This window comes from Homo sapiens, chromosome 3 (assembly GCF_000001405.40).
Source record: "Homo sapiens chromosome 3, GRCh38.p14 Primary Assembly".
Taxonomy (NCBI): Eukaryota; Metazoa; Chordata; class Mammalia; order Primates; family Hominidae; genus Homo; species Homo sapiens.
Genome location: NC_000003.12, coordinates 60483362 through 60505303, shown reverse-complemented (window position 1 = coordinate 60505303; position 21942 = coordinate 60483362). Strand labels below are relative to the sequence as shown.

Genomic DNA, 21942 nt, shown 5'->3' with positions numbered 1-21942 from the left:
TGAAGTCCCAATATAAATGAGACCATCCTAATTGCAAAAATCATTTCCTTAACTACTTAGCCATAGCAGAGGCCTGGAACCAGTCTTGTTTAGGTAGATGACCTGGTTTAGCCTTTTATCTATTAAAATAAAGGAAGGAAAAAAAGTAGTGGGTTTCAGATAGATTTCTGCCCATTATTTTGTTTTTTTCTGTTTTTACAGCTCATGATCTAAATAGGAAAAAAAATACATCTTTGACAAATGTCCAAAATAGTTCTGACAAAACTTTTGGGGTGATAGTGGGCAGGGAAGCAGGTATTCCCCTTGTCCCCTGGGACCTGTTGGTTTTTCTTGATGTTGTCATGCTGACGTATAGCAGTTTGACTTCCACTTTGAACTTAAAGGTCAGAATTTGTGCTTTCAGACTATTGAACATAATGTAGTTGTTCCTATTCCTCAAACTTTGAAAAATAATTATAAATTAAATCACTACTAAATTTCATTTCCACATTGGGCTTACTACCGGGCAGAAAGGCTACCTGTGTAGCTAACAGTTACATGACCTTAAGGAAACATTTTATCCTTCTCACAATTAAAAAATCACATATTTCTAAAGCATATTTTCTTTTGAATTAATTATTTTCTTATTTTGTTAATCACTTTCTCCTTTGGAGCTGCGGTTGAATACAGCCTGTCCACTATCGCTGAAGCTCTCAAAGCTTCATGAGACTCCTTCAATCAATATATTGTATTTGGCAGTTCACGTTTTACTATGTTATACAATTATATTTAACAAATTACTGTGATGTGAAACATTTGGGTTAGAATAATAAATAACTTTAAACTACTTACTAAGCAGCTTTGTTGAACCAAAAAAAAAATTTTTTTTTTTTTGAGACGGGGTCTCGTTCTGTCGCCAGGCTGGAGTGCAGTGGAGATCTTGGCTCACTGCAACCTCCAACTCCCAGGTTCAAGTGATTCTCCTGCCTCAGCCTCCCGAGTAGCTGGGATTACAGGCGCGTGCCACCATGCCCAGCTAATTTTTGTATTTTTAGTAGAGACGGGGTTTCACCATGTTGGCCAGGATGGTCTCGATCTCCTGACCTCATGATCTGCCCGCCTCGGCCGCCCAAAGTGCTGGGATTACAGGCGTGAGGCACGCTGCCCGGCCAAAAAATCTTTTTAAGTGTGACTGACATTGGTGGCTATCAATATGGTTGGATGCTTATATTTAGAGAATATACTTCACAATTCTTTTTTTCTGGTCATTTGAGCTATGTGGTCATTTATCTGTGTAGTAAAATTAACGTCACTTTGTGATATAATCTGGTGATACGTAAAATAAGGCTTATTTGCTCTTTCTTAAAATCAATACTGCATGTATTTATTATAAATAAAATGAGCAAGAATTTAATACTGTTAATTTTTTTCATGCACAAAAGTATGAAGTAAAAAGACTCATAATCCTACTGCCCAGAGATAATCCCTGTTAATCTTTTAAAATGTTTTGTTTTCTTCCATCTTCTCCAAAACAGTTTTAGATAAAACTAGAACACAACACTACTCTACATATAGTATGATATCCCTTTCTTTTGATCCTAATACCGTAAGTTTTTTCTTATTGTTTAAAGTTAATGTTTCTTATTCATTAACTTCATTTTCAGTGGTTTCATAATATTTCATCAATATGATTAACTATAATTATTTCACCTGGTTTTGAATATTTAGTTTGTTTCATAACTTTCACTATTAGAAGTCATGCCACAACCAATATAAAATGTATGTGCCCATACATTTATCAGTTATTTATATTACTGTATATTACATGCATACACACTCAGTAATTGTAGGAGTGAAGTATTCAAAGAAAACTGAGACATAGCATCTTTGCTATCATAGGCCTTCTTGGATAAGGTACATACACATAAATTATGTAAATGTTATGATAATAAATGTTTGAGATCTCAATGAGTGGACATACAATAAAATTTCACATGTACCCAAAAGCAAAGTGGAAAAACATTTTGCTACTACTCATTGAATAGTAATAATTTTCCTAATATATGCTAATTTTATAAGTGAGAATGTATTATGCTAATTTGCATTATTTGATTACTAGCTAAGAATTATTGAGCATTACTATATTTTAAAGTTATTTTACTGATGAAGAAATTGAGGCTCAGATAGGTAAGCAGTTTGACCAAAGTCACACAACTAAGGAAGAGAACCTAGAACTGATCACATGTTTTTCTGATTCTGACACCTATGTTCTTAACCAATACAGCATAAATGTAGTTTCGTTGTTTTGTTGCTTCTGAGAAGCATTCCAATTTTCTTAATATTCAGTATTCAGCTACAGTACCATCAAGTATTACTAATGTGTCACAGTCACCATCTAAATAGGAGTAACTAAGTTCTGGATGTGTTTTTTCTAACCTTTCACCAAGTGAATTTCTAAGGCTTGACCATCTTCCTTTCTGCCATTTTGATTTTTTTATAATAGCATTTTTGATATATACTTCACACACCGTGCAATTCACCAATTTAAAGTGATTTTAATGGCTTTTACTATAGTCATAGTGTTGTCGTCAGCCCTCATGACTACAGACGGTTTTGTCACTGCCATTGGGTTTAGGATCTAGCTGTCTGTTCTATTGAGTGCTTAACACAATGTCTGGTACATGGTAGGCAATAAATAAAAAATTATCAAATGATTAAACAAGATCTTTTTATGATGCCTGACATTATTGTGCTAAGCACTGGGGGAGTTGCTGACACTCTGTCCTCTAGAACTTTGCAGGATCCTTGGAGGGTTAAGACCTAAACCCGCAAGAAAAGTAACTTCCGAGTGAAGTGTTTGATTAGATGTCAAATGAGGAGACCAGCCAATGATTTTTATTACTGATGCCACAGGAAGATAAAGAGAATGCTGTGCCGTGCAAGGTCATTCAGGACAGCTCCTTGGAGACAGGGGCTTCTTACTGGTTCAGTTCATGGTGGCCCAGGTCTTCCTCTATGACCACTGAGATGCAATGACTTTTGGCCAGCTTTCAAAGCCTTAGTAATCTTTCCCAGGCTGCTGGGATTAATAACTTAGAAGGCCATAGTTCTTGCTTTACTCTTCCTGTGTTCTAAGATCTTAGGTCTTAACTGAGAGAAGAACAAGGTCCTGGGACACCTCTAGAGTGTGATAACTACTATCACTTTTTGTACTTCCTGCCTCCTCTACTGGATCCAAAGAAGGCAATTTTTCACATCACTGACAACCTAGACCCCCTTGATTGCTTCTTTCTCTGAAATCTTGTTGCATGTCTACTCGTCGGTCTCTCAGTCATGGGTCATTGTATCATTTGTTTACATCATTTATGCGTATGCTGCTTATCAAAGAACCGCCTGGATGGCAAAGATGCCACATTTTAGCTTTTCTTTGAGTACTTCACTCCTACAAGTACTGAGTGCGTAATATGCATGTGTATGCACGTAATATACAGTAATATGAATAACTCCAAGTAAAACACACAGTATCACTTCGTTACATTTCCAATAGAGGAAAGTAGTGGTTCCAAAAGTTGATAGCTACTTGGTATTTCTTAATGTGGATATATGATCTCTTGATCTAAAATAACAGATTTCTAAAGGACCGAGCATCACCTAGGGTGTTTGTTAAAATGGAGATTCCGGACTCTGCCATGATTTCTCACTCTAAGGATTCTGAATTCAAAAGTTGAGCGTAGGAGCCAGGAAGTGGAACTCAAAACAAAAAGCCAGCCACTCCCAAATAATTGTGACTTCCATCTGTGAGTCAACTGTGAGAGGCATTAGCTTAGACCGTCAAGATTTGGAGAAATAATATGCATCGGTTAGTCATAATTGGAAGAGCTGGCGTAAATGTGGGTTAGTTTGGATCTTTTAAAAGAAAAAATATCTATAGAACTGAGTATTACAGGGGATAGTATTGCAACTCTGGGAGTCTGTGACTCAAATTACTGTTTAAATTTTGTGTTTATGTATCTTTGTAACTCAAATAAGATAAATAGTGGCTACCTACAACGAGTTATCAAAAAACATTAAACGTATATTGAAATCTGGCTCCTTGGATCATATTACTTCAAGTCATCCCTGAAAAATGTTGGTGAGAAATGGTTTCTCAGCCTATTTTACAGAATGGCTTGTTCTCAGGTGAGTGAATCAGTTTTTTGCCCACTAATTTCACAGATTAGCCTGTTAGTCCCTCTGGCTGAAAGAGTCAAGTTCACTTCAATTCAGTTCAACAGATCTTGACTGTTACTTGCTATTAGGTTGGGATGGAAAAGCAATTGAGGTTTTTGCCATTACTTTTATTGTGAAAACTGCAGTTACTTTTGCACCAACCGAATATGTGCCAAGCCCTGTGTTAGCCACCGGATATAATGTTTTCTTCCAAAAAGAAGCCAATCAAGGCTTGTATAGTACTTACCAGGGGCCAGGCACTGTGTTAGTTCTTTATGATTTCAGCCAGCTGACCTAATGAATAGAGCACCAATACAATTTTTTTTTTTTTTTTTTTTTTTTTTAGATGGATGCTCACTCTGTCACCCAGGCTGGAGTGCAGTGGGGTGATCTTGGCTCACTGCAACCTCTGCCTCCCGGGTTCAAGCAATTCTCCTGCCTCAGCCTCCCTAGTAGCTAGGATTACAGGGGTGCACCACCACACCCTACTAATTTTTTTTGTATTTTTAGTAGAGATGGGGTTTTACCATGTTGACCAGGCTGGTCTCAAACTCCTGACCTCAAATGATCCACCCACCTTGGCCTCCTAAAGTGCTGGGATTACAGGCGTGAGCCACCGTGCCCAGCCACAGCACCAATACAACTCTTGCTAGGTGATGCTTACAGTTTTAAAGGAGCTTTCTTTTGGGCCATAGAATTTTAATCTAAAAGTGTTTGAATAAAAACACACAATGGACCAGAACTCCTTTAAAAGCAATGACTGTACTTTATTTTATTTATTTGAGAACATATACTGTGTAGTAGACCAGGAGCTAGCAAACTTTTTCTGTAAATCTTTTCTGGGCCATGTGGTCTCTGTTGTAACTACACCACTAGGCCATTCTAGTGTGAAAGCAACATCATCAATTGGTAAACGGGCAAACAGGGCTGTGTTCCAATAAAACTTTATTTACAAAAATAGGTATCAGGCAGGTTTGGCTCTAGGGCCGTCATTTGCTGACCTCAAATTAGACACAGAGTTGTCTATTGTAAATGAATGAATATGTAAATTTATCATTTAATTAGTTTCTGCTATGTGCCAGACCCCAGGTATACAATAATGAATAGTCAGATAACGATCCTACTTTTATTCTTGTGTGCAGAGGTTTACCATAAAAGATGAAACCCATAAATGTAAACCCATAAATCACAAACAACATGATTTTCTATTCTGAATAAAATAAAAAGAAGAGTATGATTGAGAGTGAGGGACTGCTTGAGACAGAGTGGTAGGGAAGTCTTCTCTTTGCCGGTGACACGTGCTGTAAGAACTAACGAGGAGGGACCAGCCCATTGTGGGACAATGGGCAGCCAAGTCCAGGTAGAAGGAAACAAGAACAAAGGCTCAGGGGCAGAAACAAGTTTGCATGCTCAATAATGTTTAAAAAAACACAGAGAGGCCGGGCGCGGTGGCTCATGCCTGTAATCCCAGGACTTTGGGAGGCCGAGGCGGGCGGATCACGAGGTCAGGAGATCAAGGCCACGGTGAAACCCCGTCTCTACTAAAGATACAAAATATTAGCCGGGTGCGGTGGCGGGCACTTATAGTCCCAGCTACTCGGGAGGCTGAGGCAGGAGAGTCGCGTGAACCCGGGAGGAGGAGCTTAAAGTGAGCCGAGATCTCGCCACTGCCCTCCAGCCTGGGCGACAGAGCGAGACTCCGTTTCAAAAACACGAAGACCTGTGGGGGTGAAGCATGGTGAGGAAGTGGGAAGATGCTAGGAGTCTGGAACCAGATTAATAAGGCCTTCTAAGGACTTCATTTTTGTGCAGCAATAAAGCTTTGGTGAGATTTAAGAAAAAGCAGAAGGGTGGAAGGAAGGAAAACAGGATTTTTAATATAAACATTATTTTGCTGCAAATCATTTAAGTATGCCCACATCATACCTTGCTATATTCACCATCCCCCAGCCCCAAGGGTCCAGGTCTTGTAGAGGCTCTGTAGAAACAGTGAATGGGGAGTTTTTATCCCCTTCAACTCCTTGGTCACTCATGGAATCTCGAAGCAAAGCAAACACTATGAAGCATTTATAGGAACTATAGTTCACATCTATCACGCTATTGCTTTATTCTTACCTTTAAGCCAATGTCAAGATAACACATGAAGTATTCCAGATCTTTGTTAAAAGTTCCTGGAATATTTTGTTATTCACAAAACATTTTACAGCAACAACCAATTAACAATACCCTTAGAAAATCTTGGGGCTTTTTCTTGAGTTTAACCACTTTTATTTTTTTTTTAAGTTGAGCTTAAATTTGGTGTAAAAGTGTATACAGATTAAATATCTTTGAAGTAGGTTTTTATTTCACAGGTCCTAGAATCAGGTAAAATGGTAGTTGCTGGTTTCATTTGAAGGAGTAATTAAGGTGTGTGATGTTGTTTAACTGTTTGTTCAACTTTGCCTAGTGCAGTGGAGTACAAATATTTGACCTTCTTGACAAAGACAGATGGATTGAAGCTACACACCATGATATCATTAGGTTGTCGAATAACATCATTATTCATGATTATAAGGAATTATTCAGGTGAAATAGCAAACCTAATAGAAAGCTATTATTTGTGTTGGGAGTATAATTTCACTGTCCTTGTCGTTCCCAACCCTTAGTTGAAGATACAATATGTGTGTTTATTTTCTTATAAGGAATCATTAATAGCATAATTTAAACTAGTAAAATTATAATTAATAATTTAGTAAATCAGGGGGTATAACATACTTCCAGAAAGAAGTTAGTATGCTATAAATGTAACAAATGAACATTTTCATCATTTATTGAATTGTTTCATTTATATAAATTCATTTTTGGTAGTACAAAATTTTTACACTGATTAAAACATACATAAAACTTTACTTTCAAAGATTGGAGGAAATGCCTTAAATTTAAAATAGTATTTAAACTGGTTGCATTTTTGCTGTCCATCTTGGTGTTGGCGAAACTATGGCTTGGAGCCAAGTCTAGCTCCCTGCCTGTTTCTGTAACTAAAGGTTTATTGGAACACAGCCACATTTGTTCCTTTATGTATCCTCTATGGCTGTTTTTGTGTTACAGTGACACAGATGAGTAGCTGTGACAGAGACCATATGGCCTGCAAAGCCCAAAATATTTACTATCTTGCCCTTTACAGAAAAAGTTTGCCATCCTCTGCACTAAGGAACTAAAGGAAAAAATAAAATTATGCACTGGTTGATCTCAAAGTTGTTTGTAGGAACTACTGAAACCCATGAGGTTGGGAGAAATCAGCATCCTAAGCCATGTACTTAAGGAAGCATGATGGGGTGTGTGATGCAAGCCCACTGTTCTAGATCATCAGCTTCTTCAGAGAATTGCCTGGAATTATTATGATCTGCTATATAACCAGGAAAGGACGGAATTAGCTTTCTCTGAGCTGGTTTTAGAATGTTCTTGCCTGAAACTGTAATAATGAAATGATCCTGTGATCCTGGATGAATCCTGGGTTCTTCCACAGTCTTCCTTTTATAGCTCTGTGTAGAACAAACACTGAAAAAAAGTGCAAATACGTTTGATCGTGAGTGTGAGAATATTGTTTTTCCAAAGATATATTTATAGAAATAGGCTAATAAAAGAATTATGTAATTTTCATCAAATTTAGAAATTAACTGTGTTTGTTTGCAGAATGATTTTTATATTTTTGAACTGATTAAAGAGATATTTCAAATATAAGAATGTACAAAGAATAATGTGGCAGTCCTTCTTAAAAAATTTAACATATTTTCATACATGCTTCAGATCTTTTCTTAGAATGAAAAGTTATAGATACACTTCATCTTCCCCACCTGTCATCTTATTCTCCTTCCTCTGTTTTTAGGGCTGCCTTTCTCAACCTTGTAACCATTGCCATTTTGGACCAGATAACTACTTTCTTGTGGGGGCTGTCCTGTGCACTGTAAGTGTTTAGCAGCAACTCTACCTGTACCGACCAGATACAATACCATGCCCCCTCCTAGTTGTGAATAACAAAGAATATCTCCACATATTGCCACATGTGGGAGGCAAAGTTACCCCCTTTTGAGAACTGCTTTAGAGGCGTTTACTGACCTGAAGTTGGTAGGTTTTCTACCTGCTTAGGTTTGCATGTTTTTTTTTGTTTTTTGTTTTTATTTGTTTTTAATGTGCATCTGTATCCCTAAAAAGGAAATCATGTTGTTTGATGTATTTAATATTTTCTTGACTGTGTCCTGCTGTACATAATCAGTTTCTTTTACTCGGCATTGTTTTTGAGATACAGCTACATGAATAAATGAAGCCCTCATTCTTTCATTTTTACCTCCTGTATTGTATTCTAGTCCCTGAGTGGAAGACAAATTAATTTCCTATTCCTTTTTAAAGGTTGTTTCTAATTTTTCTCAGTTAAGACGATGTAAAACCAATATCTTTGTATGTGTTTCCTAGTGTACTGGTGAGTCTCTCTGTAGAATATTTACCTAGCAGTGGAATCACCATGTTGTAAGGTACACATTTCTCCAACATTGGAGAGCAGTTCTATAGTCCTAATTAAGTGCTTGTGTCAGTTGATACTCCATAGCATTGGGTGAAAACATCTGTTTCCCATGATGTTTGCATTGGCACACTTTTTAAGTGTTTGCCACTCTGGTGGGTAAAAGATGGTACCACATTATTGGATTAATTCTCATTTCTCCAATTATCCAGTGGAGTAAAACGTTTGCTCCTGGATGCAAACAGGTGTCCCTTTTTGTCAATTGCTTGTGTGTATTCTTTGCCAATTTTTTCCATTGGGTCATTGTTTTCTTTTGCAATAATTAGTATTTTTATATATTCTAGATTTAAATCCTTTGTGATCATATCCATCACAGGACTTTTTTTTATTTCTCGCTTGGAATCTTAGTGGGTTTCCATATGTGTGATGGGGTCGGGACAGGGGATAGTGCCTTTGATACTAAAATGTTTAGTATAATGAAATTTAATAATTTCCTTTTGGTCTATGCATTTTGGCTGTACCTTAAGAATATATTCCCAGTGTTAATATCATAACAGTACTTTCATATTTTTCTAATGTATTAATGTTTTCTTTTCCATATGTGCCTTGATATCATCTGGATATCTTTTATATGTGATATAAATTATGAATCTACTTTTCTTCCTATGGAAAAACAGTGTTCCATTCTATTCTTTCCCCATGGTCTTGACATAAATGTGTGAATCTGTTTCTTGCCTGTCCACTGAGTTCAGTTGGTCTCTTTGAGCTTTAATGATACAGTCCTTTGATTACTATGATTAAAGAGTATCTTTATGTCTAGAAAGACAAGCATTCCTTTCTTTTAATCACATTTTGGCTGTTCTTTACCTTGACTCTTTCAAATGATTTTTTTCCGTCTTGTCAAATTCTGTGGGAAAAGGCCGTGAAATTTTTTAAAGGAATGGCATTGAATACATGGATTCATTTATGGAAATTTGACATACTGATGCTGTTGGATATCCCCAGTTATGAACACAATGTAGGTTTCCCCCTGTTAGGTCTTTTTTTTAATGCATATGTAGAATCAAGTTCCAATGTCAATAATGGCTTGGATTTTTAATTTAAATGGATATTTGTCACTGCCTTTTTAATTTGGAAAAATCTGGGAGTAAAAACTCATATTTGTTTACCTCATAAACAATAAACACAAAGCCCCATAAACTTTTTGGAATAGTTTTGGGAAAAGAAAAATAGAAAACAGTTGGGAAATGAAGTACTTGACCATTTCTTCTTTAAGAGTATTCCCTTAAAGAAGAATTAGAGAATGTATTTGTTAGAATGTACTTGAAGCATTTGCTTATGAAAGAAACCATACACTAAAAATAGCTAACAGGCATATGAAAAGGTGCTCAACATCCTTCATCATCAAAGAAATGCAAATCAGAACTACAACGAGATATCATCTCACTCCAGTTAAAATGGCTTATATCCAAAAGACAGACAGTAACAAATGCTGGCGGGGATGTAGAGAAAAGGGAACCCTTGTACCCTGTTGGTGGGAATGTAAATTAGTACAGCCACTAAGGAGAACAGTTTGGAGGTTACTCAGAAAACTAAAAGTAGAGCTAACACACAGTCCAGACATCCCACTGTTGGATATATACCCAAAGGAAGTCAGTATATCACAGAGCGATCTGCGCTCCCGTGTTTGTTGCAGCACTGTTCACAATAGTCAAGATTTGGAAGCAACCTAAGTGTCCATCGGCAGAGGAATGGATTTAAAAAATGTGGTACTTAATCACAATGGAGTACTATTTATCCACAAAAAAGAATGAGATCATGTCATTTGCAACAACATGAATGGAACTGGAGGTCATTCTGCGAAGTGAAATAAGTCAGGCCTAGAAAGACAAATACTGTATGTTCTCACTTATTTGTAGGATCTAAAAATCGAAACAATTCAACTAATAGAGGTAGTAAGTAGAAGGAGTATTACCAGAAGCTGGGAAGGATAGTTGACAGGTGGTGGGCAGGGAGGTGTGGGTATGGTTAATGAGTACAAAAAAATAGAAAACATGAATAAGACCTAGTATTTGATAGCGCAACGGAGTGACTGTAGTCAATAATGATTTAATTGTACATTTTGAAATAACTAAGAGTATAATTTGATTGTTTGTAACACAAAGGATAAATGCTTGAGGGGATGGATACCCCATTTTACATGATGTGATTATTACACATTGCATGTCTGTATCAAAACATGTCATGTACCCCATAAATATATACAACTATGTACCTACAAAAATAAAAATTAAAACTATACACTAAAAGTCGCATATTATGTGATACAATTTATGTGAAATATCCAGAATTGGCAAAGTCATAGAGGTAGCAGATTAGTGGTACCAGGGGTTAGGAGTGGGTAGTGGGGAATGTAGAATGGCTGTAATGGCCACAGAGTTTTCTTTTGGGATGATGAAAACATTCTGGAAACAGATATGGTGAAAGTTGCATGACATTGTGAATGTACAAAATGCCACTGAATTTTACACTTTAAAATGATTGATGAATTTTGTTATGTGAATGTTATTACAACTTTATGTATTTGAGTATATGTCATTTATTAATGGACAAAGATACATTCTGTAATTTGTCTACCTCCCTCTTGATCTGAAAAAACTACAAAGCATGTCTCAATTCTAATGCAAAGTCTTAACCAAAATGATTTTTTCTGAGCTATTCATATTTAGCTTCTGGTGACTCACAGGAACCTGAATTTTATGTTCCATTCAACACTCCATTATGCTCTTAAATGAGAATCTAATAATTTTCCCTTGGAATATTTTTGAAATCCAATTCTAAGTATTTAGAATTTTAGACACAGTCGTATCTCTCGTTTGAATATTCCAAATATTGAACTTTGTTCAACATTGTTTCAATTTGCAATATTTATGGGTTGTCAAAACAAAAGTAGAGATTTTTTTCTTTATGTCCATGTCTAAAAATGTCATTTTGGAAATGGCAATAAAATAGAGCATTAAACTGAAATTAATATCATGATGTTGAAGGTGTGACCTAATTAAAATGCAAATGTAAGCACACTTCTTTAAAATTGACATTGCAGCTTATATATTCCCCAATAGTGGGACTATTGCTTGTTGATAATTTGATTTGACAGGTTCTCTTCACAGGTTCATTTCTTTAACCTCACAGTGTAAGCATATATTGGCTTGCCTGATAAGATGAGAAAATTTAGGCAGATTCAGGAAGGTTAAAATGAAATTTAATGAGTTATGATCTTCCTTGGATATAGGCTGATTCTACTTATTAGAGGAATTTGGAAAATGCCTACCATCTACAGATTTAAGCATTGTTGAAAGTCTGTATTTTAAACTTAAAACTCACGTCATAGGCACTTTTTGTCCTTGTGTGTATTGTCCTTAAGTCAATTTCATGTTGTGCCCTTTACCCAAAAATACCCTTATTTCTTTTACTCCTCTAAATTCCAGTTGACCTTTATAAAGTCTTCCCTTGCCCTTTTCTCGACAAGTAAGAACCATTTTCTCTGAATTCTTGATTTGTATTTCTCCTTGGCACTTATCCATCAATTCTACGCTGTTTTATAATTAGTGGGTATACATGTACTGTGTCCTGTTTTATTAGGTCTTTAAGAATGGGAGTTACTCGCCCAGAGCAAATAAAGATTAACTGGCACATAGTAGGAAGCCCAAAAGGAACCAGTGAAGCAACAGAAGATAGAGTGAATGAATAAAGACACATGAATGCACTAAATCTTTTGTGCACATGGCTTTTACTGATTTTCACCTGTAATGTCCTATAAGGCTATAGACAGTCAAACTAAAAAATTGCTGTCATTGGGAGAGAGGCGGGTGGATCACCTGAGGTCAGGAGTTCAAGACCAGCCTGACCAACATGGAGAAACCCCGTCTCTACTAAAAATACAAAAATTAGCCAGGCATGATGGTGGGCGCCTGTAATCTCAATTACTTGGGAGACTGAGGCAGGCGAATCGCTTGAACCTGGGAGGTGGCGGTTGCAGTGAGCCGAGATCACACCATTGCACTCCAGCCTGGGCAACAGAGTGAGACTCCATCTCAAAAAAAAAAAAAAAATGCCATCTTTCATTCTTTAATAGTGATTATTGCACATTTACTAGTTTATGAAGCCAATTCTTGCACCTTAAGAAGTATTTATGACCTAGATTTCTTAACCTTTTTCCTATATATCCAAATCTTTCAATTAACTCTGAAGGATGAGTGTAATTTTAAATACCAAATTCTAATGCTCAAATGTGAGAAACAATTATTTGACTTTGTGACCACAGAAAGACATCAATATTTTAAATGCTGAATGTTTGTATTTTCAGATAGCTACTGTTGTCTTGCAGTTATGTTGCCTGTTCCTTCCACATAAGCATCATATAGTAAAATTTAGTTTTAGTAAAGAATCTGTGGGAAAAGTAGACTTGAACACAATAGGATTTTTAAAGATTATGTGAACAAGTGAGTGGAAATAGGATACTTAAGAAATACAACACATTAATTTTCAAGAATATTTATGTCCGAGATGTCAACATTCCACCAGGATAGTTTTTGGAGGATAATAGCTCTGAGCGAGATTGTTTCACATAAACGAGGTTAGAAAGTTCTTTATTTGAAATGAAATGGAAGATTTTATGCTAGCCAAACATGTAATGCTACTTTAAGCAAACTTTTCATATTCTAAATACAAATATTAAATCAAATATTGTTATAATGGAACATTTCATTGTGTTTCTGTTGTAAAAAAAAATTTAAGGAAATAAATAACAACATAAAGACAAAATTGGTGGCCTACCCCAAATATTTCAGTTATTTGTGTAAAGGTTTTCTTATCTTCACTAGCTGATGGTTATAAAATGAAATGCGTTTAAATCCATGGCTAAAAATGATTAAAATATCATACAGAACGAAAGCACTCCAGCTGTAGATGTTCATTAAATTGACCATTAATAACTTGTGATATAAAGGAATATTACTGCATTCATAAATTTTGTATGCAGATTTTATTAAGCTGGCATGTTATATGAATTGATTGTCTGACATCTTCTGGCTGTGGCTGAAGATAATAGTGTTTTATATGCATTTTTCATAATCCAAGAATTCTGATGGACTGTTTCTAGGTAGTTATTATGTTTTTGTTCTGGTTGGCCTTTTTTTTTTCACCCAGTTTACAATTAGAAAATATAATTGTAGCTTTTCGTATGAAACATTATAAGGTTGGTTGTGTCAGCATTTCTATTATAACCCTGTTTTTCATAGGGCTGCTAGTATGTGTGTAAGGGAGTGGGTGTGTGGAGAGAGAAACTACATCGGTTTGGTTGACTCTATTTTGTCTTGCTAATGAATTATTGCCATTTCTTTCTTGAAATGTAAATAGACTTGTTTGCTATTGCTTAATAAAAATCATATTTCAGTAGCTTATTGTTTACCTTTCAGATCTGAGCTTATTTAATAGGTCTTTTAACCTGTTTCTAATGCACAACTCAGCACCATTTGGTTTTGTGGGTTTGGTACTGCAAGGAGGGCTTGAGTGCAACATATACTTTTTGGGTTACCAGATCTAGTTTATTTGCTTCTCAGCATATCATACTTTTATTTTGCAATTACCTTTTGTCTTCAGAGGTAGAGGAAAGGTAGCACAAAGGTCAAAGCATCGACCAGACTGCCTTAGTTAGGGGCCCAAATTGGCTACCTGTGCAAGTTACTTAACATCTTTATACCTGTATCCTCACCTGCAAAGTAGCATGATGCTACTATCTACCCTGTAGGGTTGTTTTGGGAATTTGTTAAATCATGTGAAGGGCTTAGAGCAAAATAAGCACTCAGTAAATACCAACTGTTTTTAGTACCTGAATTAGTAAGAGACAGAAGACGTGAAACTGAAATCTAATCTTTTTTTTTTTTTTTTGGTACAAATCAAGTAAGACATGATAATGAAATTACTGCCTGAATCTTTGAGGCTGCTTTGGATATAGTTTATCCCCTGAATTTCCTCCATGTTGAAGTCTGTGGAGACGGAGCAAGAGGTTTAAAAGAGACACCTGGGCTGGAGTAGTTACAGTTTTGGATTGGGGAAAATAAATTTAAGCCTTCTCACTTTTGTAAAATGGAGATAATTATGGTAAATAAATAATAGGTTGTTATATATTTTTTAAAAAGCAAAATGGAATGTCTAGCACACATACGAGTTCAGTAGCTATAGTGTCTCTGTGGTACCTATAACAGATGTGCACAGAACCCATAACACATTTTGTTAACTAAGGTGAGAGTTTATTTTGAAGCAGTAACGATGTCTAATGTAACATCTTTTTAACTACCTTCTACTAGATGTTATGAAAATATTAGATGATCACCCTTGTCTTGGCTTTATAAACACAAACAGTGTAAGATTAGATTAAACCATGTTTGTGGCTTATAAAAACATTATGGATATTTATCATCTTTGCCTGTGATTACCGAATTGCTAGTAGAATATTGTTTCTTGGTGTTGATTTGTTTAATTCCGAGTTACAGCACTTTGCCATGTCCCTGTATTTTGAAATTCATTGCTCATTTTGGTCAAAAGTAGCCTTGTTAAATGTGAAAGCTGTAAGGATGATTTCCTGCCTGTCATGTCGTACATGAAGAGCACTGAGGTACAGTTTATAACAGAACTTGGAGTAATAAAAACTCCAAGCAGATGACTTGGTTTGGAGCCTCCTGTTCAGTGCCTGGGAAACTTGAAGGATTTCTTCATACTTTTTGGCCATTTGTGAGTATGGCAGTCTTTTGGCTATGAAAACAGGCACAGGCCCTCCTGCCAAAACTGAAAAAGACATTAGGGTGAGCCTAATGAAACCTAGGCAGAGATCCCCAAAAATTACCACATTGACTGCTGTTTCTTTTGCAATAATAGTTCAAAAACTTGTTATTCTAATTTAGATGTGCAGAGAATCTTTATCTAAAGCAGGCAGATGTTCTTATTGGTATTGTAGTGAGCAGTAGCATGGTGTAAGCAGGTGTGAGTGATAAGTGGACTTGAGCACAGGTGGCTTTAATGTATGCAGGGTCAATGCTATAGGCTCCTTAGGCCAAACAGTTGTAAGCTAGATTCTAGAGCACTCCAGCTTGGTCTTAGTCATGATGTCTTTAATTCAGTGGGCTTTTAAAAATTTAAACTTTGTTAAAAGGAGTTTAAGTTATGCTCCATTAAGTTGGACATTATTGGAAGCCAGGATTTTGTTGCTTTCTCAGAAATAAAAAGTATACACACACATTTTAAAATGAGATCATATGTACATTTCTGTGCCCTCTAAAGGAGATTTGCCACCTCTGTGAATTGCAACTTGAGCTGGATTTTTAAAAATTTCCAATTAGGATTGATGCCTCTGAGTAAAACGAATAGGTACTATTATGTTAGAACTCTGTTTCTATTATAGAGAGAAATAATAATAGTATTTGCTTAAAGGGGGATAATATTTTTCTAATGAATGCTATTTATTAAATATTGTGACAAAATGTCTACTTTTTAGCACTGCTCATGGTCTCTCTTGGAAATCCCAACTCATTGGACATCATCTGGTTCAATCCTTGACCCATGATGGAAATCTCTGTAGCAGAAAGTGTGGAATATATGAATTAAAACTGAAAAGGGATTCCAAAAGGTGGAATAGATTTTGTTCATTTGCAGTCATTGAAATTATTCAGCAAAATATTATAGTTTCATGTTTTACATAAAAACTTAACACCAAGTTTTTATCTTGATTTTCCTTCTGGCTGTTAGATAACTGGTCTTTCTCTCAATCTATTGAACTTGATAGAGAAAGTTAGATAATTCTATAGCATATTATTTAGCTGGAGAGCTGCCTGAATATAGGGCTTGGACTTAAATATTTATGTATACTAGGCAACATAGGACTGCTGAGGTTCTGTTTAGTCACACTGGTAATTAAAAGATTGAAATATTTCTATTGTACATAGCTATTGCTCTGAGAATATCCCCTACCCTGCTGTCATAGGCCCTCCCTCATGGCCCCCAGACCTTTCTAAGCAACCACAGAACCAATGTCTAGATCCTCAAGACCCCGCTCCAGTGACACTGTCAGCTTCTAGGTAACCCACCTTTTACTTAACATGACTTCTGAATAGTCCTACAGTGACTGTTGGTTGAGTAAATACAGGGTTACTTGGAATCAGATACAAGAGAAAAGTATCTTGAAGCCCTGTTAAGAGGTTTTCTAAACTTCAGAATCGAAGGTAAACACCAAATCACAGCATACATGAGCCAGGCCTACAATAATGCTATGGTGCCTGGAACACACTAGGAACATAACAGGGGCTCAGTAAATATGTCGATGGACCGAGCATCTCAAATATAATCTTTTAGCTCAATCACAGGAGTCGAGTGATTGTTTAGCAGGTCCCTGCTGCTGTGGTTTCCTCATCATTTAACAAAGGTTTATATTTAAATCGTAAGACCATTGCACTTCCCTTTATGCTTTAAGTAGCTGCACGGGCCTTGTCAGGATTTTCTTTTTTAGCCTTGCCTTCCTTCATAGAACATCTGCATTTGGATCACAGAATGTTGGCTTCACAGATGGTCTTGTAAATAGCTGAATAAAGAACCTTTAATACTTGGCATTTATAACAGGTACTTAGAAGTTTCATCGAAATTCTATTTGCTTTGGCTGGAGAAATACATTCTCTTGGTAATGAACTTGAACTCTGTCACCTGGTTATATCTTTGAGATAACAGAATAGGATAGACGGAATTAGGAGGAAAGATTGCTGTATAAATAGGTGAGCATTAAAGACTTCATCATCTCTGACTTGTCAAGGAATGAGCTAAACTCAGGACTTACTATTTTGTATGATTAAAATGTGATGATGAAGTGTTTTGAATTTCTGATAGGCTTATTTCCCTGCGTTAGCAACTTTGAGATAGTCAGGCACTGCAGGAAGCTCCAAGCACGGAGTAATTGAAAGGCAAGTTCAAGATAGATTACATTCAGCCTGTTGAAGTATACATAACTGTACCTATTAATTGCTGCACCAAAGATCTGCATTTTGTTCAAACCATCTTGAAAGAATGTGACTTCGGAGATGAGCCTTCCAGGTGTCGTAGAGCAGAATGTAGAAGTCTCTCAATTGTTGCTTTCATGGATGGATCCCCTACTTGGATAATATTTCCACATTTGATGTTTCTGACTTTGAGCAGTAATCACACTTAAGAAGAATGATAATTGTGCAACTGCAGGAGCCTGCCTGAGTAAGTTTCTCATTCTACCTTAAGGAGCTTCCTAGAGCTGCTCAGTGTGTTCTTGCTTATGCTTTCCTTCACGAGGCTCTTACATTTGTGCCCACGTGCTGGGTACAGAGACAGCAATGGGAGTGTAGAGCAGCACTTTAACTTGCCTAGTGAAGTCTCTTACTCAGTCCCTTACTAGCCAGGTTCTTGCGATCAAGTCACCAAACCTTTCTGCAGATTGTGATGACTATTCGATTCAATCAAACCCAAAGAGATCAGCCAAGAGTCTGGCACACAGAAATTCCTTAACAAATATTAGTTCTTATGTATCCTACACCTTGTGTTTATAGCAAGCCAGTCTGCTTGTGGCAGGGTTGCTTAGAAATCATTTGACAGTGTCTAAACAGTCACTCCCAAAGTTGTTGAAAAATTGACAGTCTGTAGTTGCATTTTGTAATGTTTCTTTTAGAGCAATAGGGCAGTGGTTTTAACTGAAGCACGTTTAAACTGACTTTGTTTTGAGAAATTTTAGTGGCATTACTAAGAATTTTTGGATCAAAGATCACGTTTATTGGTGAGAGGATATCCGTTGAAAGATAAAATATGCATTATAACATGTCTTTTTGATAAGGAGAAGTGTTTTGGCTTTGTTCATCAAAAGTACATCTTTGAAGCTGATATTTGAAGTTATTAAGATTTACTAGCATCTGGAATATTACCTTCAATAATTAATGGAGGAGACATCAGAGCCTGCCCTTCTCTGACCTATAGATCTTTAGCTATCAGTGAAAGAACTGATGGTATGCAATGCTTTCTTTGCCTAACCTGTCAGGCCCCTTTGGAGGTATCCTAAATTTGCTGATGGATCCTAAACTGACTGATTAATGTTTGATGTTAGGAGCTTTGGGGAATTGTTCAAGGGATTATGGTTGTTTGTAGTGCACAGGAAATACAGACTTTTTATGATCAGTTCAGCTCTTTTTGTGATCCTCTATTTTATGACTAGATAATGCTTTTGTGAAAAAAGAATGAAGTACATCTGACATATGGCTTGATCTTTCTCTTCCTCTAATTAAAAAACAAAAACAAAATAAAATTTTTTATTGGAAATTCTAGCCCTGAATTACCTGTTTTCTATTATTGTTTATATACTCTCTCATTTTAAGTGTTGTGTAAATATTTACTGTATCCTCTATCAAATTGAGGAAATGGTGTCTTTTTCAGTTCCTATTAGAGTGGACAGCATAGATTAGTTAGTAGAAATAGGCATTGTGAGGAGGCTTTTCTGTAACAGGTGTGCAGAAGTGTCTTCTATAATGTGCCACTTCATGCTGATCAATATAGTCTTAGACAAATGACTATTGATAGGGAAACTGTTCTTTGAAATAACCATATCTTTGACTCCAAAGTAGACTTTTCATTTATTTTTTCTCTGATCTCACTGCAATTAGTAATTAGTAATTATAGGTTGGGGTCTGTATATGAAAAGATGAACAATCCGTGGGTCCTTAATTATTCAAGGAATTTCAAGGTGTTTGATTCTAGAGAGTTGTCCATTTCTTTATTTAAAAAAAATTTTACTTTAGATTCCAGGATACACGTGCAGAACATGCAGGTTTGTTACATAGGTATACGTGTGCCATGGTGGTTTGCTGCACCTATTGACCTGTTGTCTAAGTTCCCTCCCCTTGCCCCCCACCCCCAACAGGCCTTGGTGTGTGTTGTTCCCCTCCCTGTGTCCATGTATTCTCATTGTTCAGCTCCCACTTATGAGTGAGAACATGTGGTGTTTGGTTTTCTGTTCTTTGTTAGTTTGCTGAGGATGATGGCTTCCAGCTTCTTCCATGTCCCTGCAAAGGACATGATCTCATTCCTTTATATGTCTGCATAGTATTCCATGGTGTATATGCACCACGTTTTCTTTATCCAGTCTATCATTGATGGGCATTTGAGTTGGTTCTGAGTCTTTGCTATTGTAAATGACGCTGCACTAAACATAAGTGTGCATGTGTCTTTATAGTAGAATGATTTATATTCTTTTGGGCATATACCTGGTAATGGGATTGCTGGGTCAAGTGGTATTTCTGTTCTAGATCCTTGAGGAATCACTATACTGTCTTCCCACAGAGGTTGAATTAATTTACATTCCCACCAACAGTGTAAAAGCATTCTAATTTCTCCACAGCCTCACCAGCATCTGTTGTTTCTTGGTTTTTCAGTACTCACCATTCTGACTGACTTCAGATGGTATCTCATTATGGTTTTGATTTGCATTTCTCTGATGATCAGTGATGTTGAGCTTTTTTTCATATGTTTGTTGGTTATGTAAATGTCTCCTTTTAAGAAATGTCTGTTCATATCCTTTGCCCACTTTTTGATGGGGTTGTTTTTTTCTTGTAAATTTGTTTAAGTTCCTTGTAAGTTCTGGATATTAGACATTTGTCAGATGCGTAGATTGCAAAAATTTTCTCCCATTCTGTAGATTGCCTGTTCACTCTGATGATAGTTTCTTTAGCTGTACAGAAGCTCTTTAGTTTAGTTAGATCCCATTTGTCAATTTTGACCTTTGTTGCAATTGCTTTTGGCATTTTCGTCATGAAGTCTTTGCCCAATGGTATTGCCTAGGTTTTGTTCTACGGTTTTTATAGTTTTGGGTTTTACATTTAAGTCTTTAATCCATCTTGAGTTAATTTTTGTATAAGGTGTAAGGAAGGGGTCCAGTTTCAGTTTTCTGCATATGGCTAGCCAGTTTTCCCAGAACCATTTATTGAATAAGAAATCCTTTCCCCATTGCTTGTTTTTGTCAGGTTTGTTGAAGATCAGATGGTTATAGATGAGTGGTTTTATTTCTGAGGCCTCTGTTCTGTTCCATTGGTCTATATCTCTGTTTTGATACCAGTACCATGCTGTTTTGGTTACTGTAGCCTTGTAGTATAGTTTGAAGCCAGGTAGCCTGATACCTCCAGCTTTATTCTTTTTGCTTAGGATTGTCTTGGCTATACAGAGGTCTTCATAGATTCCATATGAAATTTAAAGTAGTGTTTTCTAATTTTGTGAGGGATGTCAATAGTAGTTTGAGAATAACATTGAATCTGTAAATTACTTTGGGCAGTATGGCCATTTTCATGATACTGATTCCTTCTATCCATGAGGATGGAAGGTTGTCCAATTTGTTTTCTCTTATTTCCTTGAGCAGTGGTTTGTAGTTCTCCTTGAAGAGGTCCTTCACATCCCCTGTTAGCTGTTTTCCTAGGTATTTATTCTCTTTGTAGCAATTGTGAATGGGAGTTCATTCATGATTTGGCTCTCTGCTTGTCTATTGTTGGTGTAAAGGAATGCTTGTGATTTTTGCACATTGATTTTGTATCCTGAGACTTTACTGAAATTGCTTATCAGTTTAAGGAGTTTGGGGGCTGAGATGATGGGGTTTTCTAAAAATAAAATCATGTAATCTCTAAACAGAGACAATTTAACTTCCTCTCTTCCTATGCGAATACTCTTTATTTCTTTCTCTTGCCTGATTGCCCTGGCCAGAACTTTCAATACTATGTTGAATAGGAGTGGTGAGAGAGGGTGTCCTTGTTTGTATCAGTTTTTAAAGAGAATGCTTCCAGGTTTTACCCATTCAATATGATATTAGCTATGGGTTTTTCATAAGTAGCTCTTATTATTTTGAGATATGTCCCATCAAAACCTACTTTATTGACAGTTTTTAACACGAAGGGATGTTGAATATTATCAAAGGCTTTTTCTGCATCTATTGAGATAATCATGTGGTTTTTGTCTTTGGTTCTGTTTATGTGATAGATTACGTTTATTGAGTTGCGTATGTTGAACCACCATTGAATCCCAGGAATGAAGCTGACTTGATCGTGGTGGATAAGTTTTTTGATGTGCTGCTAGATTTGGTTTGCCAGTATTTTACAGAGGATTTTCGCATTGATGCTCATCAGGGATATTGGCCTACAGTTTCTTTTTTCACTGTGTCTCCT

General features: G+C 36.4%; 1 protein-coding gene across 6 annotated transcripts in view, besides 5 other annotated features; it reads left to right on the top strand.

Moving 5' to 3' along the window:
* FHIT (fragile histidine triad diadenosine triphosphatase) overlaps positions 1-21942 on the top strand; it is a 1504176-nt gene that overhangs the window by 746149 nt on the left and 736085 nt on the right. The gene's annotated exons all lie outside the window — the stretch shown is intronic.
* Positions 1-21942: part of a biological region, named in NCBI's record as "origin of replication at fragile site FRA3B", that runs on past both edges of the window.
* Positions 2445-3373: an origin of replication, noted in NCBI's record as "Ori 3; amplicons 3-6; peak of nascent strand synthesis determined by quantitative PCR of labeled, size-fractionated nascent DNA". NCBI's record gives the evidence for it as "EXISTENCE:nucleotide analog incorporation evidence [ECO:0001107][PMID:19815620]".
* Positions 2788-3874: an origin of replication, noted in NCBI's record as "Ori 3; region of peak nascent strand synthesis determined by microarray hybridization of labeled, size-fractionated nascent DNA". NCBI's record gives the evidence for it as "EXISTENCE:nucleotide analog incorporation evidence [ECO:0001107][PMID:19815620]".
* Positions 15307-18263: an origin of replication, noted in NCBI's record as "Ori 2; region of peak nascent strand synthesis determined by microarray hybridization of labeled, size-fractionated nascent DNA". NCBI's record gives the evidence for it as "EXISTENCE:nucleotide analog incorporation evidence [ECO:0001107][PMID:19815620]".
* Positions 15934-17399: an origin of replication, noted in NCBI's record as "Ori 2; amplicons 5-7; peak of nascent strand synthesis determined by quantitative PCR of labeled, size-fractionated nascent DNA". NCBI's record gives the evidence for it as "EXISTENCE:nucleotide analog incorporation evidence [ECO:0001107][PMID:19815620]".